The sequence below is a fragment of the Homo sapiens genome, chromosome 11, assembly GCF_000001405.40.
Source record: "Homo sapiens chromosome 11, GRCh38.p14 Primary Assembly".
Classification (NCBI taxonomy): domain Eukaryota; kingdom Metazoa; phylum Chordata; class Mammalia; order Primates; family Hominidae; genus Homo; species Homo sapiens.
Genome location: NC_000011.10, coordinates 115,181,001 through 115,205,258, shown reverse-complemented (window position 1 = coordinate 115,205,258; position 24,258 = coordinate 115,181,001). Strand labels below are relative to the sequence as shown.

The 24,258-nt window shown below is 40.4% G+C and overlaps 1 protein-coding gene across 13 annotated transcripts in view; it reads left to right on the top strand.

The window, feature by feature from the left end:
- Positions 1–24,258, top strand: part of CADM1 (cell adhesion molecule 1) — a 335,180-nt gene that overhangs the window by 299,157 nt on the left and 11,765 nt on the right. For 5 of the 13 annotated variants that reach the window (NM_001301045.2, NM_001301043.2, XM_047426695.1 and 2 more), the window contains 2 exons: positions 6,821–6,853; positions 14,318–14,371. The exons of 4 other annotated variants lie outside the window; for them this stretch is intronic. In NM_001301045.2, the coding sequence (NP_001287974.1) occupies positions 6,821–6,853; positions 14,318–14,371 (87 nt within the window). The remainder of the gene's footprint in view (positions 1–6,820; positions 6,854–14,317; positions 14,372–24,258) is intronic. 4 more of the 13 variants (XM_005271494.4, NM_001301044.2, XM_047426690.1 and 1 more) reach the window with 1 other exon arrangement.

The window sequence follows — 24,258 nt, the reverse complement described above, 5'->3', positions numbered from 1 at the left end:
TTTGTTTGTACCTGGTTGCATCTTGAGTTAGATGCTTGATGAGGAATATCATAGAAAGGACTCCACACTCAGTTTTAAATACCCTTAGCAACTTACAGAGAAAATTCAGGCTGGGAGGAGTTCAACCTGGAGGTCACACTAGACATGTGACTGTCATAAATTAAAAAATTAAAACCACCTTAGAATAAGAAATGAATAGCTATAGGGCCAAATTGTGAAACACATTAAAAAATCCTTTCATAAGAATGAAGTAGGTCATTTCTAAATGAGTTTTCCACCTTTTAAAAGTACGTACCCAATTAAATATTTTGTGTTCCTAGGAAAAGAAAATAGCCAGGCTTTTCTTATTGGTATCTAAGTACTCAAAAACCAATATAGCTTGTAGCAAATGATTCCTACCCCCAGGCCCACATTATTATTTTTGGCTTTCATAGTCTGAAATCATAAGCTTTTGTTTTGTGTAATGTGGATTGGATCACATAAAGAAGGTGGGTATAGCCTTTATCCTTCAGTGATATGTATAGAATATGCCCAAGTGGGGAAACTTGACACCAGAACACATGTTTTTAGTTCCTTAGGTACAAAGCAAAGAAGCACACCTGTCCTTAAGACTGAATCTATGTCATGACCATCTAAATGATGATAGAGAGCTTTCCTCCAAATACAGCTGGCTATTCCCCAGGGTCTTAGCCTAATGATTCCTACTCTTTGCTATTGATATTTGCATGGTTCAAGAGCTGGTCTGCTTTTAGTTATGCACTCAACAAATATTGAGTGCCCATAATATGTACAGCACGATGCTAGTGCTTATGGAGACAAAATACTCCCTAAACCCCTTATCATGTGGTTGCGAGAACAGGTTACACACATTGGAACCCAATAAGAGATACTGTACAATTGGGGTGATTCGGTGGCACAGGCAGAAGGTGCCGCAGATGCTGAGGAGAGTGTCACAGTGGACTTTGGTCTGTGCCATCAAAGAAGGGACAAAATGTGGATAAGAAAGGATGGCATTTTGGAAGTTACACATGAAGGTCCAATGTTACTTCAAGCATCTATCTTCAATGTGTGTTTATTTTGCATGTATTTATGTTTCAGGCATAGATTAGGCCACTCTTGCTAGGAGATACACATCTTCATCCTAGAATGTTTACTAAATTGCCTTTTTCTCTAGAGTTGACATCTACTTCATTAAGATTATTTTTCATTCAGCATTTATGGAATATTCATCAAGTGTTATTGATATGCCAGTATACCTAGTGACAAGAATATTTTGGGGGCACTAGTAAATACTCATGAGCCACCTTTTACATAATAAGCCACCTTTTCAAGTTTTTACTCCAAAAAGTATGTGTCCATTTTTCTTCATACTGTCTTAAGTGTCTACATTTTTTTTTCCTGATAATTGTAAACCTGTTACAAATAACAACATAGCTAACCAGCTTTTGACCTATATTGATTTAGGAGGGAATGAGAAAAGACTTGAATACTACAGTGATGGAGGCCACCTGACCCCATATTTTTTAAAAAATGAATGAGAAATGTGATGCTAGTGGAAAAGTTTTTAATGCCTCTATCATAATTTCAATAACTTTATGCTCTTTATTTTAAAAATAATCTTGGAGATAAAGATATGACATGTTTTCATACTAAAGACCTAATCAACAATGCAAACAAATAATACTGTGAATACAGGTTTCCCAGAATTAAAAAGTGATGTTTACAGCTATCTTGGTAGTGAAAAATAAAAGACTTGACTGGAAGGACCCAGCCCTCCCATATCTAACACAAAATTTGCCAAGACTTAAAAATGTGCTACAACTTACAGAGAGCCTCTTTCCTGTCTCCATCACTACCCTCGTGGCAACATCCTCTTCTTTTCCTTCCCTCCCCTCTGCCTTCCTCTTTTCTGTACCCCCTTCCACTGAGCATTCACACACAACATGATATAGGAATTGTTTTTCTTGTTAAATGAAACCACTATACAGATTCCTATTATTTTGCAGAACATCTGGTTTGCAAATGAAAAGATCTCAGGGGCACAACAGCACTAGTGAACAATTCTGAAGAAGCTTTTAACAAAACTTGAAATTGCTTATCCAAAAAAAAAAATCATCCCCCGTTGCTGCTGTTCTGTAGCACACAATCTCTTCACTCACAGGGGAGGTGACTTTAACAAGGAAGAGAGCTTTATCCTGTCTCTCCTATTTTGGCCTTTTAGTTTTCATTCTGTTCCTATCCACTTCTCCCATCCCTAAGACAGGGGAGTTTGATTAAAACATAACATAGATGGAAAGAAAATTAGCCAGGAAACCAGGAGAAAATAAATTCCAGAGTTTAATTTTCCAGCAGTTATTTTTGTTTTCGATCGAGTTCAAATAACATGAAAGAGAAGAAAAAAAAAAAACCCACCATATATTTAATATATATTGGCCAGCACAGCACAACTATGAAAATAAAATTGTCAGGGGAATTCCTTGCCTGCCCTAGTGTCTAGATTTAAAGCACCTCCATAACACAAACTGAAGGGGAATTCAATTAAGAAAACCCATTGGCTTCTTATTGACTTTAGTTAAGAAAATAAACTGGGAGAAAGTGTATTAAAATATGTCTAACTGCTTAGTATGCTTTCATTTAGGCTTATGACAATCAAAAATGAGAGAATTTAAATTTTTTACAATTAAGCTCTGGTTTTGAGTAGATTGTGGGTTATCACACCGTGCATTTTTTTAATGTACACCTTACTCAAACACACCCTAAAATGCAGGCTTGCAGTCTGCGCATTGTAAAGCAGGAGCACCGCAGATCAATTGGGGGAAAAAATATTTAAGGTTGTAAATTTAATTTTGTTCTAGGATTTTCATTTTCATTTATGGCACCCGTTGTGTTTGAGAACATGGACCAATTTATGGATTAGTTTTAAACCCCCAGTCTGTCACACTCAATGAACAATTCTAAGTTGGAGAGAATCCATATGAAAGGATTAGAATGTGCCACAGTGGAGCTTACACATGACTGTTTCAACTAAATATTGCCCAGCTGCCTCTCCTGCAGTATTATTTTTTTTTTTTGCTACTTAGTTAAATTGCTAGTGTCTCTAATTTCACACATTGTCAGAGCTTTTTTTATTTTGTAAATATACTGCCACAATAAATGTATGTGATGTTTCATTTATTCAAGATGGGGTCTGATAAACTGTAGGACTAGGAGACTAAGAAGAGAAGTCAATTTTGAGTAGAATGTGCATCTTTCAAATAATATTGCTGGGCCCTTCTTTGGATACCTTGTTTGACTGTACTCATAAAATAGCCAGAGAGTGACTGTTAAGACCGTACACACTTAATGGGTTTTCAAGAAGATGGGATTGTTTTTTCTTGGCCATATAATATAAATGTATAATAAATTTGCTCTCTTTGTAATTAAAATTAAGAGACAGTAGCTCAGCTAGGCCTTTTAAATGTCTATATAACCCAACACCACCATAAGTCCAGCTCAATTTTTTGTGACCTGTTTTTCTCATGGGCTAGCTCAAAGATTTTTTTTTTTTAAGGCAGCAGCAAGATGAGGTTTTAAAAAGGCTTTGTTAGGGCAATTAGACATTTTCATTTTTCAAGCTGATTATAGCATTTATCACTTACATTGAAATTTAGTATTTGCATTTTGCCTCTACGCTTAGAATGTTACCCAACAATATGGTCACCACACAAGTTGATTCACAGGGTGTGTTTGCACATTTCTCCAGTTTTCTGATTAAGATACCCTAATAAATCCTGCCTCACAGAGTTGCACTCACTTCAGAGCCAGGGTGTCTGTGGTTTCTGCATGAAGTCATAACGCAATTATGAAGGAGAATTAGATTCTGTCATCGTGGTCTCCTGCAGGGAGCACAAAGTTACTTCTAAAGAATGTTTTCTTAATTCTTTACTTGAAAATAACCTCTGTTCAAGTAGCATACCAGATGCTCTTAGAGAAATGGAGTCAGTGACTCCCCAGACACACCATCAATCTTGCTCTGAACTTTGTAGCCAGCCTGTGTTTCTCCTGCAGTCTCCTACCCCGTTGCTGCTCCGGGTTTTGCCATTTCCAGCTGCAGTAATCGTGTGTGTGACTTGAACATGTGTTTGCTGTTAACCATTTTAGAATGTGTTTTTTCTTCTCAACATCCCCCTTTCCTCCCCTTTTGGGTGCAGTTGATGGATTTCCCATCCCCAGAACGGGGAAGCAAGATGCACTGTGGATTTTCCTTCATTTATTTTCTAGTACTCACCTAGGAGCAGACGCCTAGCTTCACTTGGTTTAATTTCATCTTAAAGCTGACATGATGTTGTGATGTAGGAAGACAGTAAATTGGGGTCACTGGTTAATGCTGATATTATTTTTGATGACTCTAACCCTTAGGTCTTACTCCACCCCCCGCCCTTCTATCATTTGTACTTAAGTATTTACCTGGTGAAAATAAAGCTTATGCCGGGCACGGTGCCTCACGCCTGTAATCCCAGCACTTTGGGAGGCCAAGGCAGTGGATCACCTGAGGTCTGGAGTTTGAGACCAGCCTGACCAACATGGGGAAGCCCCGTCTCCACTAAAAATACAAAATTAGCCAGGCGTGGTGGCACATGCCAGTAATCCCAGCTACTCGGGAGGCTGAGGCAGGAGAATCGCTTGAATGCAGGAACCAGAGGTTGCGGTGAGCCAAGATCACGCCGTTGCTCTCCAGCCTGGGCAACAAGAGCGAAACTCCATCTCAAAAAAAAAAGAAAAGAAAAGAAAGCACATTAGAAGAGCTACTACAAAAATAATGAGCCAGAGTGTTGATTGCTTTTTTGTAATTTTGGAAAGGAGCCGATGCCTATCTATAAAATGTATTAACATGCATATAAATGTTTCTGTACAAATGGGCATTTGATCCTGCCCCTCAAATTTAAAGTACCTAATGCTGCACTTGGATGTTTCAACTAAGGAAATGTGTCATCTGTGTCAGGAGAATCTGTGACAGAGTGTGTTTCAACTGTACAGTTTATTGTTTTTTACTGCTATTTTATGCACACAGACTTGACTTGTAAGTATTTTGTTCTTATGCGGTATATTGTATGTTTCTCTTTCCTTCATCTATTCATCAGAAACTAAGCTATCAGTAATATTAAGCTGCATTGGCCTTTCAGACTTCTGGTTAATTCTGGCTCCTTAGAAGGGATCTAATTTTTGATGGTATAGGATCCTCTGGAAAGCATGCCAACTGAAGGGGAATGCCGGTGTGAATTCATGTGTCACATTTATACATCAGAAGCACCAGGCTCATTTGCCCCCCAAAAAAGCTTCATATGAAGTTCCAGTGCATTTAAACATTGCCTGTGTTGAATCAGAAAGTCTTTTGGCGTCTCCACAGCTCATGAAAGCAATTGCCAGCTAAATAGCTGCATTCTACAAAAGGACAGTGAACTGCTTGCTTGCAGTTTAACCCAGAATCTTACTTCAACCACCACCATTTGACTAGAGATAACTAACTCCTGTCTCAGTTTCACCATTTCTTTTTGCCAGCAATGAGTCGTAGAAGGAATGTGCCTGGGAAGTTTAGAACTCAAAATGAAAGTATGGCCAGATGGGTTGACATTGGAATGAGGTTGACTAGAAGAGTGGTGATAAAATGACTCTGGAAAAAGAATGTCACCCTGCATTTTGTTAGATATTTATTCCACTTCCCCTGTAGCCAAAAATAAAGAGAAAATTCCTTGAGCTCCTTGGAGGAATTTCTTGTGAACAGGAGCAAGTACAGCAAGCTTGGCTTAGAAGCCTGGTAGAAGAAGGAGAAAACTTGAACAGCATCAGAAATAGAAGAAGAAAAAGACAAAATACATTTCCTTCCACAGCAAGTTCATCTAGCAATGGAAAAAGAAAAAAACAAAAACAAAAAACTGCACTCTCTCCTACTCCAGCCATGAAAGCAGGACTCCCAGCCCCTCAGAATGGTGAACGTGGTTCTGAATTGTGAGCGAAAGGATGGCTGGATACTTAAATTTTTGGAATGTCATATGATTAGAAGCAGCGTTTGGCAGATTGTGTGAACTTGGGTGTTTTCATTAAAGGCTTCTGCTCTTGGATTTTAACATGAAGAGCTTTAGAGTGAAGAATGGATGTGTGTGTTTGTGTGTGTGTGTGTATAGAAACTAATCTGTGAAAACCTTGAACATGTTCATTGCCATGGCCTCCCAGTTAATTGAACTTTCTGGCTAAACTATGCTGAAATAATACACTGGATGGAAAACTTAAACCTGTCTATTCATCTACAGGCATCTGAGCATAAGCAGTAAAAGGATCCTAAAAGTGTGATTGAGTCAGTGATGCCTAATTGGCAGTCAAGAAGCCCAAGTGCCCGGGTGGGTTGGGTTAAAACAAAGGCAATGTTTGAATGTTATGAATCCATTGTTTAACCAGCCTTTCGACTGAGCTTTTCTGTCGCAGTCCTGAGCCTTGATGCTTTAAGAGCCATCTACCAGCCACTGAGTTTGCACTGGTGTTTCTCATCACTTTGCATGTCCACCTGACTATTGACTAGCAAATATATGTGTCCTGGCAAGACCCCCAGAACCAAAGAATTTACTGTTTTCCTCACTGGCTCGCAGCTTTGAGCTCAAGGCATGTCTTAAAACAGTGCAACTCACTTCAAATGCTTTTTGCTTTTCATTTATTATTGCTTGTCACGCGATGTTCTTTGAAAGCTTGCTCATATATTATCTGTTCCATTTTTTTTCCATTTTCCCTTTTTTTGCATGCCGTTCCTCCTGTTTCTTCCCTTCCTCCAATCCTCTGTTCCCGTCTGTAGACACAACGGCGACGACAGAACCAGCAGTTCACGGTTGGTATCACATTACTGTTTATCTACTTTCTCAGCACTGCTGAGAGGCAAGGCAAGCCTGGGAAAAAGAGAAATGTAGTCTTCAAGGGAAATCATGTTTCAAGTAGACTGACCTCATAAATATACTATAATTTTTTAAGGTTTGAAAAGATGTCGAGTCTTGTCATTTCTGTTGTGAGTTCAGTACCCAATGGATGCAAGCTGAGATGAGACCTTCTCCCCACTGGGTGGCTGGAATTGTAGGAGTTTCAGTGGCACAGAGTCCTCCTTACAAAACTCCACCAAACCTTGAAATACATGGGGCTTCAAACAAACGAGTATTCGCAGGAAAATTGTAACATCTGAATTAAAGGCCCAGTTGCTTTGTTTATATATAGGCCATAGTCCCAGGTAAATCTTGAAGAGGAGTCATTTGTGTCACTTAGTAAAGTTGAGATGGAAGGGTAGACCAGGGAAGAAGATTCCTGTTTAAAATCGTGAGCTTCTGATGAGGAAGGTCATTGTTCTTCTTTAGAAAGGTCATGACTTTAATTATGTTGCTAATCATATGTACCCCACCACCCCTCACTGGTTCACTCCTAATCTCTATGTGTTCATATAACTTTATGCTCACATTTGGCAGAAAACTCCTCCAAACCAAGAATGATACCATGTGTCAATTTTATCAGCATTAACTGGGACTTTAAATAAGTTACTGGTGTGTGTGTGGCTTGCAGGTAAAATAGTAATACGTTTTTAACCACAAAGTGATAAAAACTGGGTGAGTCAAAGCTCAGGAGGGGCATCAGGAAATATGATCTCTTTTTCCCCATCTCACCAATGACTTACTGGATTGGAATAAGTCTATTAACTTTTCTATGTCTCTCCAATCAGAAAATGAGAATCATGTTTCATCTGTATATTACTTTATTACTTAGCTCAAATCTAGCCCTGACAAGACTGCTTAGAAAAGATATGTTTAAAACTGGGCTGAATTTTAATAATTGAATCCAAGGGAATTATTTGGTAAAGGGCCTACTTTAATCGCTTTGCCTGTTGTTGTACAGGGTGGAAATCTATCATTTAAATGACAAGAGGTGATCAGCCAACCCTGCCATGTTAATTCAACTTTTAGAGAAACATTTCCTGGCACAGACTGACTCACTTAGAGACCTACATTTGATAACTCACCAGTTGGAAAATCTCTGAGCTCTGTAGGAGCTGTCCTTGAAGGTCAGGCCTTGATGCTTGGCAGGTCACCCCATCTTTTGACTTTCCTATGACGAATTCTGAGAAAGCAAAACGAACTTGGGTACTGAGCAATATATCCTTCCCCACCCCATTCCTATTTCTTTCTGCCCTTTCTGGTCATTGGTGCAAAGGGAAAAGTTCATAAAATAACTTAAAGGGGCTAGGTGTGCTGACAGTCATGAGAAATCAATTAGGTATAAAACTTCCACTTTCTAAGGTAATGCCCCATAGTGCTTGCTACATCTCAGGCATTGCAGTCCATTAAGCTCAGTTATTTGTAGATTTCATCATTAATTGAGCACCTCCTGACTTTTATCTATTATTCTCAAAGGGTTATTTTAATGTAGTTAGAGAGATTTTATTCTATTCTTTTTAAGATACTTAAGTTTCTTTTTAAGATACTTTAAGTTTTGAGCTTACTGTAATTAACTACAAGGTAAAATGCAAGCTCATCCAACCCATAGCCTATGGGCTACCTGCGGCCCAGGACGGCTTTGAATGCGGCCCAACACAAATTCATAAACTTTCTTAAAACAGTGTGAGATTGTTTTGTGATTTTTTTTTTTTTTTTTTTTTTTTTAGTTCATCAGCTATCATTGTTAGTGTATTTAATGTGTGGCCCAAGACAATTCTTCTTCCAATGTGGTCCAGGGAAGCTAAAAGATTGGACACCCCTGATATAATGTAACCATACAATTCCTAAATTCTGTGAGATCCTTGAAGAAATATTGACCATTTGTCTCCTAAAGCTCCAGAATTCTATTTTCTAGGTCCCTTCAATAAAATTCATGTTCTTAGTGTGACTCTAGTGGATGTAGGTCTCAGAGTTGGATAGGCTATTCGAAGTAGGAAATTTGTCCCCTAATCTGAAAAATAAGAAGTTAACTTACAGGCTGATCCTGATTTTAGAGTACTAGTTTTAATCGGGTCTTTCCCTGGAGAGAGAGAAAGAGAAGGTGATCTCTTTTTGTGGTATAAGGAAGAGACACTTGGAATGGGACTTTATAGCATTTCTGTGGCAGGTAATAGAGGTGTTTGTGTACTGTGAGAAGCAACTGCCTTCCTATTAGTTTGGAGACGATGTTCAAGTTGGTGAAACCTCAGTAGGATGTTATTGACTAGCAGTGCATGAAGAATACACCTAGAGCCAAGGGATTTATTGTATTTTGTATATATATACTTGGAATTTGACTTCTTAATGGCAGAGGGATAGAAAAGTGATAGATAATCTAGGCTGATCCCTGTATAATACACTTATAAATACATTCTTTACCTTGTCCAAAATCCTCGTAGCATCTTCACAAAGGGCTCCAGCCACTGTTTTAAAGAGCATACTCTTTAACCCACAGCAAAGAAGCTGTAATGAAAGCCAGATAATATCTAAAATTTTGCTTGATGTCGGGGAAAAACTTCCAGGTCAGTTGTCAGGATAGAAAAGGTAATAGAACGTGGTGGAAATTACAAAGCAACATCTGAGATTTCCAAAGAGATGATGATACAGAACTGATTTTATTCTAATGAATTGTAGCTGAAAACCCAACTTCTTCATTACAGCAACCATTTGACTTAGATTCATTTGAGAATAATCTCGAGATGTTTGTTGTGGTGATCTGGGCCTAGAAATGTTGAAAGGTTTGATAACTTAGCAACTTAAATGACAAGACATTAAGTCAATCAGCTATGGGCATCTTATTTGGTCTTAAAAGTTTTCATACTGGATTTCCTTCTATATTTCTGTGTTTTTATAAAAAGGAAAAGAAAAAATAAAAATTTTTAAAGCTTTCCCTTTGAAGACTCATTAAAATATTTTATTCAAGCTTGTTTTGCTAGAGTATGTATGAAGTTTATACCAGTTGTTTATGTATGTTGACCATTTGTTCTTACCAATATCTGATTGGAATAAGCATGTATTGGAAGGTTAGAAGTGCATGGGCATGATTCAAAATCAAGTGGATTTTCTCCAAAAAGAAAGCCAAACAACAATCAGCCACAATGTGCTTTTAAGGATTTAACTGATAGTAAAGATAAATGTGAGTGTTAAGAATGGGATTTTTAGACTAGGCTGACACAAGGGATCTTCTTTGAATAAGGATCTTGAGCATTTGTGTTTTTGGAGCTCATCCTTAAGGCCTGGACAGGAAGAATCCTGTGTTATGTGTGCATGTTGAGCAATGCAAAAAACACTCTGCCAAATCCTGATACCACATGGTCTGAGAAATGCATGAGTGATTTAACGCACGGATGGTGTAGTCATTATGTTCTTGATGTGTGGGTGCGTGTGATGGTTTTCGTTTGTTCATATGTGGGCGCTTCTGTGTCTTGTGCCTTGTTCCTTCTGCCCTGTGTGTCCCCTCTCCCCTTCCCCACCCTCCTCCCCAATGTGAGGGGTCGGGTGACAGCATGCCCATGGTCTGGAATAGTGCTTGTGCTTTTGCTGCACTGCAGTCAGCTGGCTTCCTCTGGGTTTGAGGTCTCTCTGTCTCCGTCTCTCTCTCTTTCTCTCTGTGCCCCTTCTCTCCCCTCTCCATTTTATTATTTTCAAGTCTACCTGTCCTCTTGCTTTTTCACCTCTTAATACAGTAGAGGCTGATGATCTCATGAATTTTCATATCCCCAATGAGTTTTTAAATTGTTCTTAATTCAGTATGCAATTGTGGTAAGACGCAAACTGGAAACCCCTCTGAAGAATAATTTCTCATTTTCAGTTTTGGTTTCAGAATGTTTGGCCTGTGCTAGCTACATGCTCGTACCCTACGAGCACAGCCCTTAGAAAACTGCCCCTGTAGCTCTTCCTTTTCCTGACTCGTTTATAAATAATGCAAACCATGGTCAAATTCTAAAAGCACGTACAATTTTCTTATTATACTTTATATTCAGTTGTGGGGAAATTCTTAAGCCCATTTTAAAGAAACATAGCCAGCAGTGCGCATTACTACAACCGCTATGTCCACCATCTGTGTATGTGCCTCTATGTACATCTCTCTGTATGAGCACATAACAATGGCATTCAAAGGCTGTCATTCAGTCACGGGACTCTGCAGACATTGTACGTTCTACACAAGAGCAAAGCTCAAGAGGTTTACGAATGGCTGCAGGACCTGAAGATTGTGTTTCAGCCTTGATATGCAGTTTGGAAACAATGTGCTACTGTCTAACGGCGTGAACCAAATTTCTGCTAATGGGAAGAAGGGAAAACTCTCCACAAAAGCTGACAAAGCAGGAAGAACAGGATGACTGAGTTTTTAGATTAAAACTCCCGGGGGCGTCTGAACTCATGGCTGGTGGTGGAAGTAAGAGTTTCCATAATATGGCCAAGTGATCAGATGTATGCTGCTTAGGTAAGAGAGAGACCATCGCCTACTTTGTTTTTCATAATGGGAATGGTACTAGGGCCGGTGGGCTAAGTTTTTGTTTTCTGGAGGTTTTATTCGATCATTCTATTTCAAAATTTTCTGGAAAAAAAAAATGATACCCTGAAAAACTGAGCCCATAAGCATTTAAATCGTATTTGACCTTGAATTGATTTAATATCTCTAGAATTTCTTACTGTTTCTAATTTTTTGAGGTTTTTCTTACCCTGGTTTTAAATGGCCACATTGTATCACTTTTAGAAGCCAGCAATTACTGTTGAAAAGGAAGAATCACAACGGCAAAAGCATTACCTGAGCGGGCTTAGGGTATGTTATAGCACATTGTAGCACCATGAAAAAGTTAAATACTCATCTCTGCAGAAGAGATGGCTATCATGCATATATTAAATTACCATGTTTGCATCTTTAGGACTTTATTAATTGCTCAAAAATAATCCCATATGGACAAAAAGTAAACTTTCATTTGTTTAACAAAGTTTAAAGACATATGTTGAATACATTTTAATTAGCAGTGACTAGAAAGAGGCCTTAATGGATGATATGAAAGTTTCAAGAGAATACACAAGAAGTAATTTCCCACTTATTGTTAGAGTGAAGTCTCCTTTTGAAGAATGTTCTCTGCTTCATAAAATACGTCTTTGTCTTTTTCTTTGAGAAAATGAAAAGTGTATAATTTTTAACATGAAAGAAAAATACCTAAGCCAAATCAGTTTTAGGAGATAAATTTTGCTCGTCCCCACTTGCACACCCAGTGCTTCAGTAAATTCTTTTGAATTATATTTATTCAGAAATTGTCCAACTATGGCAGAGTATTGTAGGTTCACACAATATAATAGTGCTACAAAAACAAATTTAATGCCAGTAGCCTAAATGGCTTCCTGCTTTAGAACGTAATCCGAGCAGTAGATTCCAGATAACTTGATATATTTTAAAGTTTATGCCATTAAAAATGACAGTTTCCACTTTAATGAGGTGTATATCAACTGTCTGTTGCTTTTAATGGAAACCTTTGCATATCAATGATATTTCATAAACATATTTGTCTTTTTGGGTTTTTTAATTAGCTTTCTAATGCCCTCCCCGAGGAAATAAGCCTTCAGCAGTAAAGCTACCTACTTGAAACATCCTTGTTTAATGTGGTTCAGTGGGCACCAAGCACATATGTAGGACGCTTTGATATTTGTTGGGCCAGGTAGAAGTGAGAGATTAGCCTTCTGAGAACTGCAAATTTATAATTAACTACAAAGGAGTACTTTATGTTGCCTATTTATAACAGTTATTTAAATAATTGTATTCATCAGTCTTTATACAATGTATAAGCCAATTAGAAATAGGAATATTGTCAACCAATCAGATTTCAGAACAAATGGATATCATCTCTACTCAGTTGCCTCTATAATTGATTGCATTGCTCACTGCTTTCCCTTTAGTTGCCTAAATCTATAGTTTGGGAATACCTGTGGGCTCAAAATCTTCCCATTTTTAATCAGCACCTGCTGTTAACTATTAGCACCCAAGGGTCATGATGGAAGTTCTTCTTCCTCAAGGGTTGATGGTGTGACAGCCGTCTTTCACAGAATTGACCTGGCTATCAATGTTCGTTTGGTTTCTCTATAAAGCAACTTACAAAATGCAGGCTTCAGTGATCATTTGCACATGACTGTTGTGGTTCATTTGGGCCTTTAAAAATAGTGATCAGTTTGACATTACTTGTTTCAAAAGCATTTGTTTTGGTTGCTTTTATGCTCTGATTGGGCATTATTCCCAAATTATTAATTCAACAAATACTCACTGAGAATACACTTTGTGGGTTGGCTGTAGCAGAAGGGAAAGATGCAAAAATAAACACAACTTGCTTCTCCAAAGACCTTGCAGTTTATTAGGTCTACAGACATCTTCAAAAGGGACAAATCTGACTAGAGAAGTATGAGCAAACTGCTGTGCAACTTAAAAGACCTAAGCAGTTAGTCACACTGGACTTTGAGCAGAACAGCAAAGAACAAGTAAAGCCACATTGAATGTCTAACATTTTGTGTTATTAAATAAACTTCATTAAAGGATCAGCTCACAAATAAAGCAAAAGGAAATGGAAACCATCTCCTATCTGAGCCTCCCATTGTTTATCTACTTCCCTCTTCACCCCTTTTAATTCAAATCAGAGCTAGCTGAGAAGCATCTCAGCTGGCCAGCATTGGAATTGACTCGGATATAGGCATTTCAAGCCCCGATTTGATTACCTCCTGACCTAACTGCTTTTTCAGCTTTGAGGGTTTTATTTTTCAGGAATACCATTGATTTATGAAATTCTCTTTTTTAAAAAAATCATTTTGCGAATCAGATTTTCTGATGAAGGCATAACCTGCAATCTGCAGTTAGCAGATGCTGTACCATTTTGAAATATGTGATCCAAGATCATCATAAATTGATAATGAACTGTGTTTGTCAGTATTGGCAGCGGATTTCAATTTACAGTAAAATGCGAAATAAAATGTACATACATCAGTATGTAACATCTAAATACATTTTTATTTAAGAGATATCAGAGCATCGACAGCTAACAATCAGGCTTTATTGATTTTCTTTTTGCATGCTGTTACGAATGAGTGATTTTAAGCATTCACCTTCATGTTTCATGTCCTTTGAACAGTGGAGACTGAGGAATCTTTCTGCCTCGATTGCGTATTAAGAACAAAATTACATAATTGAAGAAATGTACTTATGGATTAATACATTCATGCTATCAAAAACATAGATAGCAAGAGATTTGGCTCATGTTTTTAAAGAAATTCATCCTCAGTTCTTAAGTGTTTTGTTTATGTCCCTCGAGGAATGAAAAGAAAAACGATTTGTTTTTACTTGTAAGGCCTTACTCAGTTGCCCAATTCCGCAGAAGAACTGGACAGTGAGGACCTCTCAGGTAAGGGCTAGTCATTAGGTAAGGCACTGCAGTGTCCAACCTGTGGGTGCTCTATCCACTTCTACAAAATGGCCATTTGGTTTGCTGAGCAATCAGTGTGGATTTTGAGACTAACAAAAAACAAATTTGTATCAATACTGTCTTCCTCCCCGGTCACCCACTCACCTGTTTTCTCTGTGGTAGCGATATTTATATTTCGGAATGGGGACAATTTAATTAACGCAGGAGAGGACAAGTTACCTTTGGGATTGTACTAAAGCCCCTCTGTTCAGTGGCTTCAAATAATGTTTATGTCCTAGATATATAATGTGTCGGGAGAAATTTTGTTGTATTACAAAGCAATTTAAGGATGTTGGATTATGTGACAAGATCTTTTTTAAAAAAAAAAACAAGCAACTCATTGACTGCCTACTTCTGTGGAGGGGACTAGAATAGCCATGTTGTAGTTATCTTAGAAGTCAGGGGTGGGGAAGGGCAGGGAGGAGGGGGAAGCAATTGTTTTGTCACACACCATGATGTAAACTAATTATCCACCTCAGACCTCTTTCACAGCACACTGAGCTCTTGCAAAAGTAGGTTTCATGCTTGATTCCAGGATTTAGGTGTTACTAATCCAGAATAAGAAGCATATCCTACAAAGGAGGGAGGGAGGAGATTTAAAGTGGTCAGAGCTAAACAATTATATGAGCTTCCATGATGTTGTGGGACTTAACTGCCAACCAGCTATGGCTTAAACCTTTCCATCCATCACTTAATAAGTCAGTAAGCAAGGCCCTTCTTGTTATTGCAGTGGAGAAATTAAGTCATAGGACTGTAGACACTTACTCAAGCCTATTGGAAAGAAAGATTCCAGAGGCGCTTTTACTGAAGCTCCTTTTAATAGTTGGCTATTGAGGTGCAGTCCTTAACTATAAGTCTGACCCGGTGAGAGAATAAGATAGTACTACTCGATTTTTCAAAGTGCAATTGATTTATTGCCAACTACGTGCTTCTGACGAACCTCAGGGATATCTTCACTTTGCTGTTATGTAGCCTGTAGTTTGAGTTTAGCTGTCGGATTTATTTTTCTACAGACTGGAAGCTCCAGGAGGCCATGCTGGTTTTGTTCACTGTTGTACACCTGTCATGTACTAAGTACCCAGTTGACACTTATTGGATGAATGAATGAATTTCCAAATCCCAATGCATAGATAAATAAATAGATTAGAAAGATAGACAGCCAATCAAGAGAGTGTTTCATTTTTTGCCACTTCTTTGTGGTGTAGTTGGAGAAGTTGCAAAAACATTTACCTAGTTTTATTTTAAAATAAGGGTGGATAAGTCCTCCCTACGTAAAATGTGATGCTGGAAGTAAGCAATTTCTGCTTGCATTTCTGGTAATAGACAGTCTCAGTTCTGGTTGACCGTAAAGAAAACAACTCTCTTTGATACAGTAGCCCTGGCAATTGGATCTTCTCAAAGATCCTAAGAAAGCTGGTGGGTGTGTTGGCCCTGATCCCTCTTGGCACAATAGCCAGACAAGGATCACTCAGATATGCAAAAGTCATTTTTCTCCTCTTTAGGAAAATGTGACTGAATCAGCCATCCACCCCTTCCACCAGCATCATCAATTAGGAATACTCTGGGCCTCAGCACTGCGCCATGTCAGATGGGTCCCTGCTGCAGTTCTATCAATCACCCAAGTCAGAAGCAATAAACCAACAACTGTTTGTGTTCATAATAATTCAGTTAAATTAATAATTATGTTGTCCCCCTCCCCCACTCCCTGCAGGAACACTGCAGTCATATATTGCTCAGGAGCCGTAAGTCATGTAGAACACTGATGAACTATCAGGCTGGGCCGGGCTGCCTTTGCATCTGGTTTGATGAACTAATCAAAAACTGATTAGCACCTTTGTTCGAAGGGGATGCTGATTAATCAATTACTATTGATTGTGAGCTTGGCTTCACTCAGCAGCAAAGAGACATCTGAAGGGAAAAAAAAAACAACCAATAAAAATTGAGCAGCTGTCATAGTGTTTAAATTTATTAAAACAAAATACATTATTTTTATGAAGCTGTCTTGAAATGGGTCACTGAAGGGGAGCATATTGATTGAGAAAGGATGAACTTCTCAAATTTCTGTAGCCTAGAGACTGAATTCAATTATAATACAAGACAAACCGGTTAACACCCGTCTTAAACAGTCCATCAATAAATTAGAGTAGGTGTTGCACATTTAATGCTAAACTGTGGTAATGAATAATATCATCCATTCCCTGCTGCATCAGGGTAGAAATTTCCTCCTTTCCATATTATGGATAAATGTTACGTACTCAATTTCCTTCCAAATAATGATGGTCTATTTTCCTTTTGTCCCCTTTGCCCCGACCTCCCCCACGCACCAGTGCTACCTTCATTAATGACAGTTTCATAAGCAACATATGGTGCTCCATTCTCACCCAGCAAAGCAAGTTGCCCAGCTGATCCTCCTCTTTAATCTGCATAAAGAAATTATGCTCGTATGTAGTTCAGTGATTTAATTATTGGCAGGCCTGGGGAGCTTACCCAGTTCTACTTTGAACCCTTTCATTTACTTTTTGGGTGTTAACTTTATTGATGATGGATCCATAAGAGTTTTGAATTGTTTTGTCAATTACATCTGCTCTTTCCTGGTGACAGCTGGTGGTTATTGCCACTCATGTGGAATAGAATAGCTTTAAGCATATTTATCCTTCTATTTTATTTTAAAACTTTTTCAAAATGTCTCCAACTGCCTCTCTCCCTTCAGCAGTGGAGGGGCCTTGGGGAACTGTTTAGTGGAGTGAGGTGGTAAATATACAGTGTGCCAGAAAATGGCCCTCCAGCACAGTTCAAGAAATCCATCAGTCTTCTGATTTGGAAGCAAAGGCACCAAAAAGAAATTCCAGAGCTGTCATGATTCCTCAAAACATGTTATCAGCTCTTGTCCTACAGACAAGAAAGTGATCTGGAAAACTCCTACAACATGTCCCTCACGATCCAAAAAAGAAAGCATGGGCCTCGGAGGGCAATTCTAAATGGCTTTGCTAACCCTCATCTAGGTGTTAGGAAGAATCTAGGTGAACCAACTGCAGTCCCCTAAATGGATTATACAAGAAACACGGCTTCAAAATATAGCCTATATTTAGCTGGGCGCGATGGCTCACACCTGTAATCCCAGCACTTTGGGACGCTGAGACGGGTGGATCACTTGAGGTCAGGAATTCGAGACCAGCCTGGCCAACATGGCAAAACCCCATCTCTACTAAAAACACAAAAATTAGCCAGGCGTGGTGGCATGCACCTATAGTCCCAGCTACTTGGGGGCGGGGGAGCAGGGGTTGACTGAGGAGAATTGCTTGAACGAGGAGGTGGAGGTTGCAGTAAGCCGAGATGACGCCGCTGTACTCCAGCCTGGGCAACAGAAAGAGACTCCATCTCAAAAAATAAATAAAATAACAAACCTACATTTAGCTAATAGGAGCACTTAAAGCTCTTTTGATCTAGATTATCAGTCCCGGAGGTGGGGATATATGGCCTTCCGGTTACTGGGAGTGTCTTAAGTCCTGGCTAAACTTACTTGAAATGTGTGTGAGAAACTGTCAGTAGCTGTACCATTTAGGGGGAACTCTTTCCTAACCCCCACATAAAGAGTGGCCCAGATTTGGCAAACAGGCTATTTTATTCCCTTGGTAGAGTAATAACAACAATAATGATAATAAAACATTAAAAACCAGATGAGCTGTATAGATATATTTAAGTTATAGCCCATAAATCTAAAGTGTGGCATGATATGGCTTGTATCTGTATCATACTTTGTAACTTAGAAAGCTCTTTCACACATATTACTTCGTTTGATCTTTATTCATTCAACAAAATTATTTGAGATCCTTGTGCTGGGCTCTGGGCTGGGCACCAGGGATGCTGCAGTGAACAAGACCAACAGGAGCTGGAGCTGCCATGGCGTCCAGGAGCCAGGGCCCCTGCTCTCCTACCGCGACACCCTACTGAGGGAGACAGACCCAAAACACGAGTTAATCTTGGACAGTGACAAATGCTGTGAAACAATAAAACCGGATAAAGTGGAAGTGAGGGCTGGGGCTGGAAGAAGGTGGAGGTCAGTTTAGAAAAGTTTACCAGGGAAGGCCATTGGGACAGGAAGACCCAGATAGATGAGAATGAGCCAGATAATAGAAGATTTTCATGAAAATCTCCTGAGATTGTTAAGGAAGGGCTCTTGGTCTCCATTTATAAATGAGGAAACTGGGACCCAAACGGCTAAACGGTTTGCTTAGGAGACAGTGAGAAGCGAAGCATGGGTCTTCCTGGCTCTAGAGGAAATAGAGGACTTTGGTTTGCAGGGGCCACCTTTCCCCCTATGAAATCCACAGCTTCCTGTGTGCTGGAGCCTTTGGTAATCCTCTTGACCCTTTTCAATTCACTGTGCGCACCCGGGGAATGAGGGAAAAGTCAGGCTCTCTGCAGCCCATCAGGCATAGAGCAATGTGCTGACTAACCTGGGAAGATTTTTTTTCCCAGCATCAAATCAAGCTCTTTCTCCTCAAAGAAGACCTAAACTCTGCTTCAGTAGTTTAGTACTGTTGTCCCACTGATTCCCCTAAATTATGGGATCAGTTTCCCCTGGGAGGTGACCCTAAGTGCCATGGGAAAGTGATGGCTGGAAAAGGTTAAACCACATCAATTCCCTTTTAAAACTGAGTTTCATACAAGGCAGTAGACTGAAGAAATCACATTGGGTCCATGCCAGCTCACCCACGACTTCCCCACGATGTGTTTGAACTGCATCCTGCTGCTGGTCTTTCTCATAATCCAACATGCTCCTGTTTCCACCGTGGGAAGGGAGGAGACCATCAAACGGGAACTTTTCTTCCAAAGTTAAAAAGTTGGCAGGCCACGGTGAGTGTGAATTCTAGTTCTACAGGTTGGACACTGCTTTGGGGTGACTTCACCATATTCATTAATCCATCCTCCTCACACCCCCAAATGCCTGAGGTCCACTGAAGCATCTTTCTCCAGAGAGAGATTCTAGTGGGAAATGTATGTTTGGAAATACTCGACAACTGTCCTGTTTATCAGGCGTATATTCCTTTAAGGGAAACTCTGGTGTCATCCTCAGTGCCTTCCTGTTGCTTAAAATGGAAAAGATGATCACATTTCTAAATCTGTGCTATCATGAGATGAACAGAGTGGACTCAAGCACGACTTCTGGTGTCTCTGGCGGTGTTAAATGCCTTGGGAGAAATCTTGCATCCTGTTGGATCAAGTCATTTCCACTCATGGTTAAATTAACTAAATCAAGGAATTTGAGAGGGGAAAAAATCAACAAGAAAAAACCCAAAACACTTGTTTTCATATTTAGCTACAATAGTATTTAATATCCTGATACTCAAATGGTACACCCGAATCGAAACCTGAATCAGACGGCCTTCACCTGCCAGGCCCACAGCCTTGACCTTCATAAAGGACAGCTAAGCCATTAGTTACACAGTTTGTCAATTCTGTATAAATGAAAAGAACTTGGTGACTTCAACTCAGTAAGTGTTTATTGGGCATCTTACCATGTGTGGGCAATGCTGAGTATGCAGTACCACGCTTACCCCTAACGAACTGGTAATTATTTGCCTTGGGTCGGTGATAAGAACTGGAAAAGCCCTCCTTAGGCTCTAATACAGGAGATTTGAATTTGGCAAACACCAGGTCCCTATGATACTCCAAGCCCTGAGCCAAATAGGCACTTTCATTTGGCTCAGGAAATGAAAACAGTGGCCTCTCAAAGTGACCCTGTGAAGTACGTAATTGTACTCAGTGGCTCAGAGTGCCTCATTGACCTGCCTGAAGTCACAGAGAAAAGTAATGAAGCTCAAGTTCTGTCCCAGAAATGACAGCAAGTCCAGTGCTCTTTCCAATGGACCATGCAGGAGATGAGCTCCTAGCTCGTCCCCTGTTCAGGCCTGTTTCTGGAAAGCAATGTAGCCAGTGATAGTCTAAGAGAGCCCTGAGTCCTGATCATTTGAGTAGTGACAAGGTACAGCCAAAATCTGTGTGCAGTACTTCTAATTTAAATGAACACATACTGAGCTCTGGGTGGCACCATGAGGATGATCACTGCAGTTTTCCTTTAAGTAGCTTAACATAGCTCCTTTGAAACGTTAGTATAGATGCAGTTACATTGCTAGAATTGAATGCAGCTGACGTGTAGTAGTAGATGCCTGGGATGCTATATGGGAGTCTTCATGATTTTCTTGCTTTACGTTTATTCCTTCTCGTCCACTTTCTAAGAAGACAGAAAAGAAAGGTTATGCTGCATAAAGGCTAGTGTGCTCCAATATATATTAACATCTTAATGGGAAAGCTGTGCATGTACTGTATACATTTACTACTCTCTGACAAGAGGGAATTAAATGTCAGAAGGATTTGTAGCATCTATAATTGAATTGGTGCTGAGAAAAGCAAATCTTAAAGAAGAATAACATATTAGGATTAGCAAATAATGTGGCATTTTGTCAGCGCATGCCATTCAGTTTGTTCCCCTTCAGTAATAAAGTTGTGCTTTTTAAAATGCACACTTATTTTTGTTGCCATGGACGGGAGCTACAATAGATGATGAGAATGGGTAGCTACATTTTTCAGATGGTGCCAGGTTTTCTTAAGTGTCATTTTTTTTTTAGGTCAGATTATGGTTTTGCTTCAGATTTGGGAAATCCACTACCAGGCTTTTTCTTTCTTCCTAGCAAGAAGTAACAAATGACATCATAGTCACTAAGCTTTCTCTGAAATAGACTAATCCCTACAACCCTAGGAAGCTGGAGGCAGCATTTCCATTACAAACACCGATTCTGAGAGTTTGTAATTAAACTGACTTGTCCAGCAAGATCTCCACCCAGGAAAGGAACTAAAACTGAGCCACGTGACAGAACTGTTGCAAAAAAGTCCGCAACAATTCTTTTCCTCCAGTCATCCACGGATGGGGGAAGCACAGAACGCTGAGCATCTGAACTGTCCCTAAACAGAAGTAGGAAGACTAATACCGTTAGAACCTCCCCATGGCTTAAACGTAAAAATGAGAGCTGAGGTAGTTTATGACCTATGAAAAGAGTTAAAGTGTGCGTTTAAGCGCCATGTTGCTAAATGTGCCTTACAGCCTGAGCCAGGGATGTTTGAGATGTGAGGGTGACCCAGTGCAATGTGGCTGTCATGCCTCATGCTGCATACTTTATTGTGTATCATTGTGTCACCCTTCACTCCTTCTCAGAGGTAGAAATCTTGGTGTCCTTTTGGCAAAAAGACTGACCTTGGACTCTGTGTAGCCGAGGGCTTCAGGGTGGGCAGGCAGCAGTTGCAGTGAAGGTTCTGCTCAGTGAGTCCTTCTGCCAAAGTCCCTATTTGCCAGGAGCTTGTCTAGGATGTACTAGCCACTCTCCAGTTATCCATGGATCCCCACTTTGGCAGCAGAGCCTTCTAGGCTTATCACAGATCCATGATTATGGCATTTGCATGGCGGTTTATGCTACACATCTCATGCCAGGTGGTAAAGTAGCCATAGAAACCAGGATCTCTTGCAGAGCCCTGTTTAATACAGGCAGCATGGCTGCCAGAGTGCTGCGTTTAAGACGACTCTGGCAAGGAGTTTGAGGAATGAAAACAAGTAGAGAAAGAAAAGTCTCCTAGAAGGAGGGGAAAGGAGACTGAAGTTCCACTAGCAGTCACCTTTCTTGTCACGCCCTGGGGAACTACTGCCTTTAGAACTTCCCCTTCTTATTGCCCATGAGGAATGGATCGGGCCAGGTCAACTGGCCCAAGGTAAAGAAATCTGAGCAGTTTGGGGCATCACTCTTGGGAGTTTCTTTGAGATTTCTCTGTCCCGCAATTTCTAAGATGCTAAAGCGAGCCCAGGGTTGTTGAAGCTGTGACCCAAGCAGTAGTGGCCAACTTAACATTCTGCAAGCAGCTGGTAAACTCTCACCTGGAGCCAAGTTGTTTCAGCTTTTTGCCAAAAGAAAAGCTAACTCACGAATACTAAACACCTCATGATTTATCTGTCACACTTAGAGCCATGGAAGTGGCTGCGGGATGGGACACGACAGGCAGGGAGGGTTGTACCACAACTGTGAGCTGTCAGGAACACCTCCCTGCAACTGCTGCCTGCCCGCCCTGAAGCCCTCGACTACAGAGTCCAAGGTCAGTCTTTTTGCCAAAAGGACACCAAGCTTTCTACCTCTGAGGAGGAGTGAAGGGTGACACAGCGATACACAATAACCTTTACAGGGTTCATCTGCAAGTCAGAATCATTCAAGGACTAGGCCTAATTCACCTGAGGTCACATGTGAAATAATTTGGATGAGATTCTTAACTCCAGTTGAACTGTGTTATGCAATCATGCTTGGTTCACTGAGGCTGGAATAACCTTTATGCTGGAACCATTCACCAAGCAAAAACATGGCTTTACTTTTCAGGATGATGGGGCAGGGCTTAGTCCCAGAAAAGAAACACTCTTACACTTGTTACTAGTAAGAGGAACACTTGTAGCCTCTTAGGGAACAAGAAAACATGGCTTTCTAAACCGAAGTGATGTCCATATGCCTGAGCATCAGGCATGTTTAAAAGTGCTTTCCACTCCCACATTTATTTTTCAATTGACAAGCTAGGGGCAGCTGTAGAATCTGCCTCTGGTTTCGTTGCCTGCCCGATTCAGAAAATGAGCCGGGAATCTGAAGAGAATGTCCCCAGGAAAGCCAGCACTTCATGGGACCTGAAGAAGGGGTCTGCACCCTGCAGGACCAGGATCTGTGGCTCATGGGGAAACCCATAGCTTTCCCACTTAGAAGTCATTTCTCATGGAATTGGTTAGAGTCCTTGCCTTGGGAATGGAAGGAAAGGTCAAGCAGCTGACAGACTTTGTCGCAGCCATGCTTCTCTTAGTGCTCGGTATTTCCTTCCATTTCTGGTTTTCGTGCGACTCCAGTAGCCCAGTTCCCCCCTGGGCAGCATCTTGCACGGCTGCTTCATGTCATGAGTGAGGCACAGCCCGCAGGTGCAGGCAGCTCACCCCGGCCCTGCTGCCTTGAGCCAATCCATGGCATTATAAACACTCCCCCACCCTCCCCACACGTGGAAATAAAAGAACGGACTGAGATGACTCCAGAAACAGCTCTGCTTTTCATAGGGAAGGCCAAGACAGAGGCACTCAGTGAACAGGCACAACTCTATTAACACCTCCCACGTAAACCCAGGAGGTGGGAGTGGGGGTGGGAAGAGGCGGTGAGGCGCTCGTAACCGGCAGTGTTCCCTGTAAATTAAACATCAGTTACCTTCTGTGTCCATCTGCAGTAATTGAAGGCAGGAGAAATGTCTTGGTGATTAACTGGTGGTAGTAAACTTTCTGATCAAAGTGGGTATCAGAAGATAGCTGGAGAGATTACCCTTATAAATAAGTATCTGTAAAATATGTATGTCCTTGAGGGTGGGGAAGATAACTAGAACATCTAAGGTTCTAGTTTAATTTGGGCAAAGTGCAGGGAAAAATAGCAACACTGAGCATATTTAGCTCAAAGTTCATGGAGGGCAAAGGTCAAGTAAGGAGTTTCGGCTCAAGAAATTAATCTCACAGATACATATACCTCGTGAGATCTTTTTGTTTGAGGGAGGTTTTTGTTTTTCTTTGTCACAGAGCCTCTCTCTGTCTCTCCCCTCCCCCCTCCCCCCTCAGGCTTCCAGAATATTCCTGTGTCTAGGCATGGAGAGGAGGCGGTCTTTTATTAAGAGTGGACAAGATAGTGTCTTCCCCTAGATGGGTTAGAACTGTCCTGGACAGCTTCTCGAAGCTTCTCTCTGTTCTCAGTCTTCCTGGAACCTCTCTTCACCTCTTG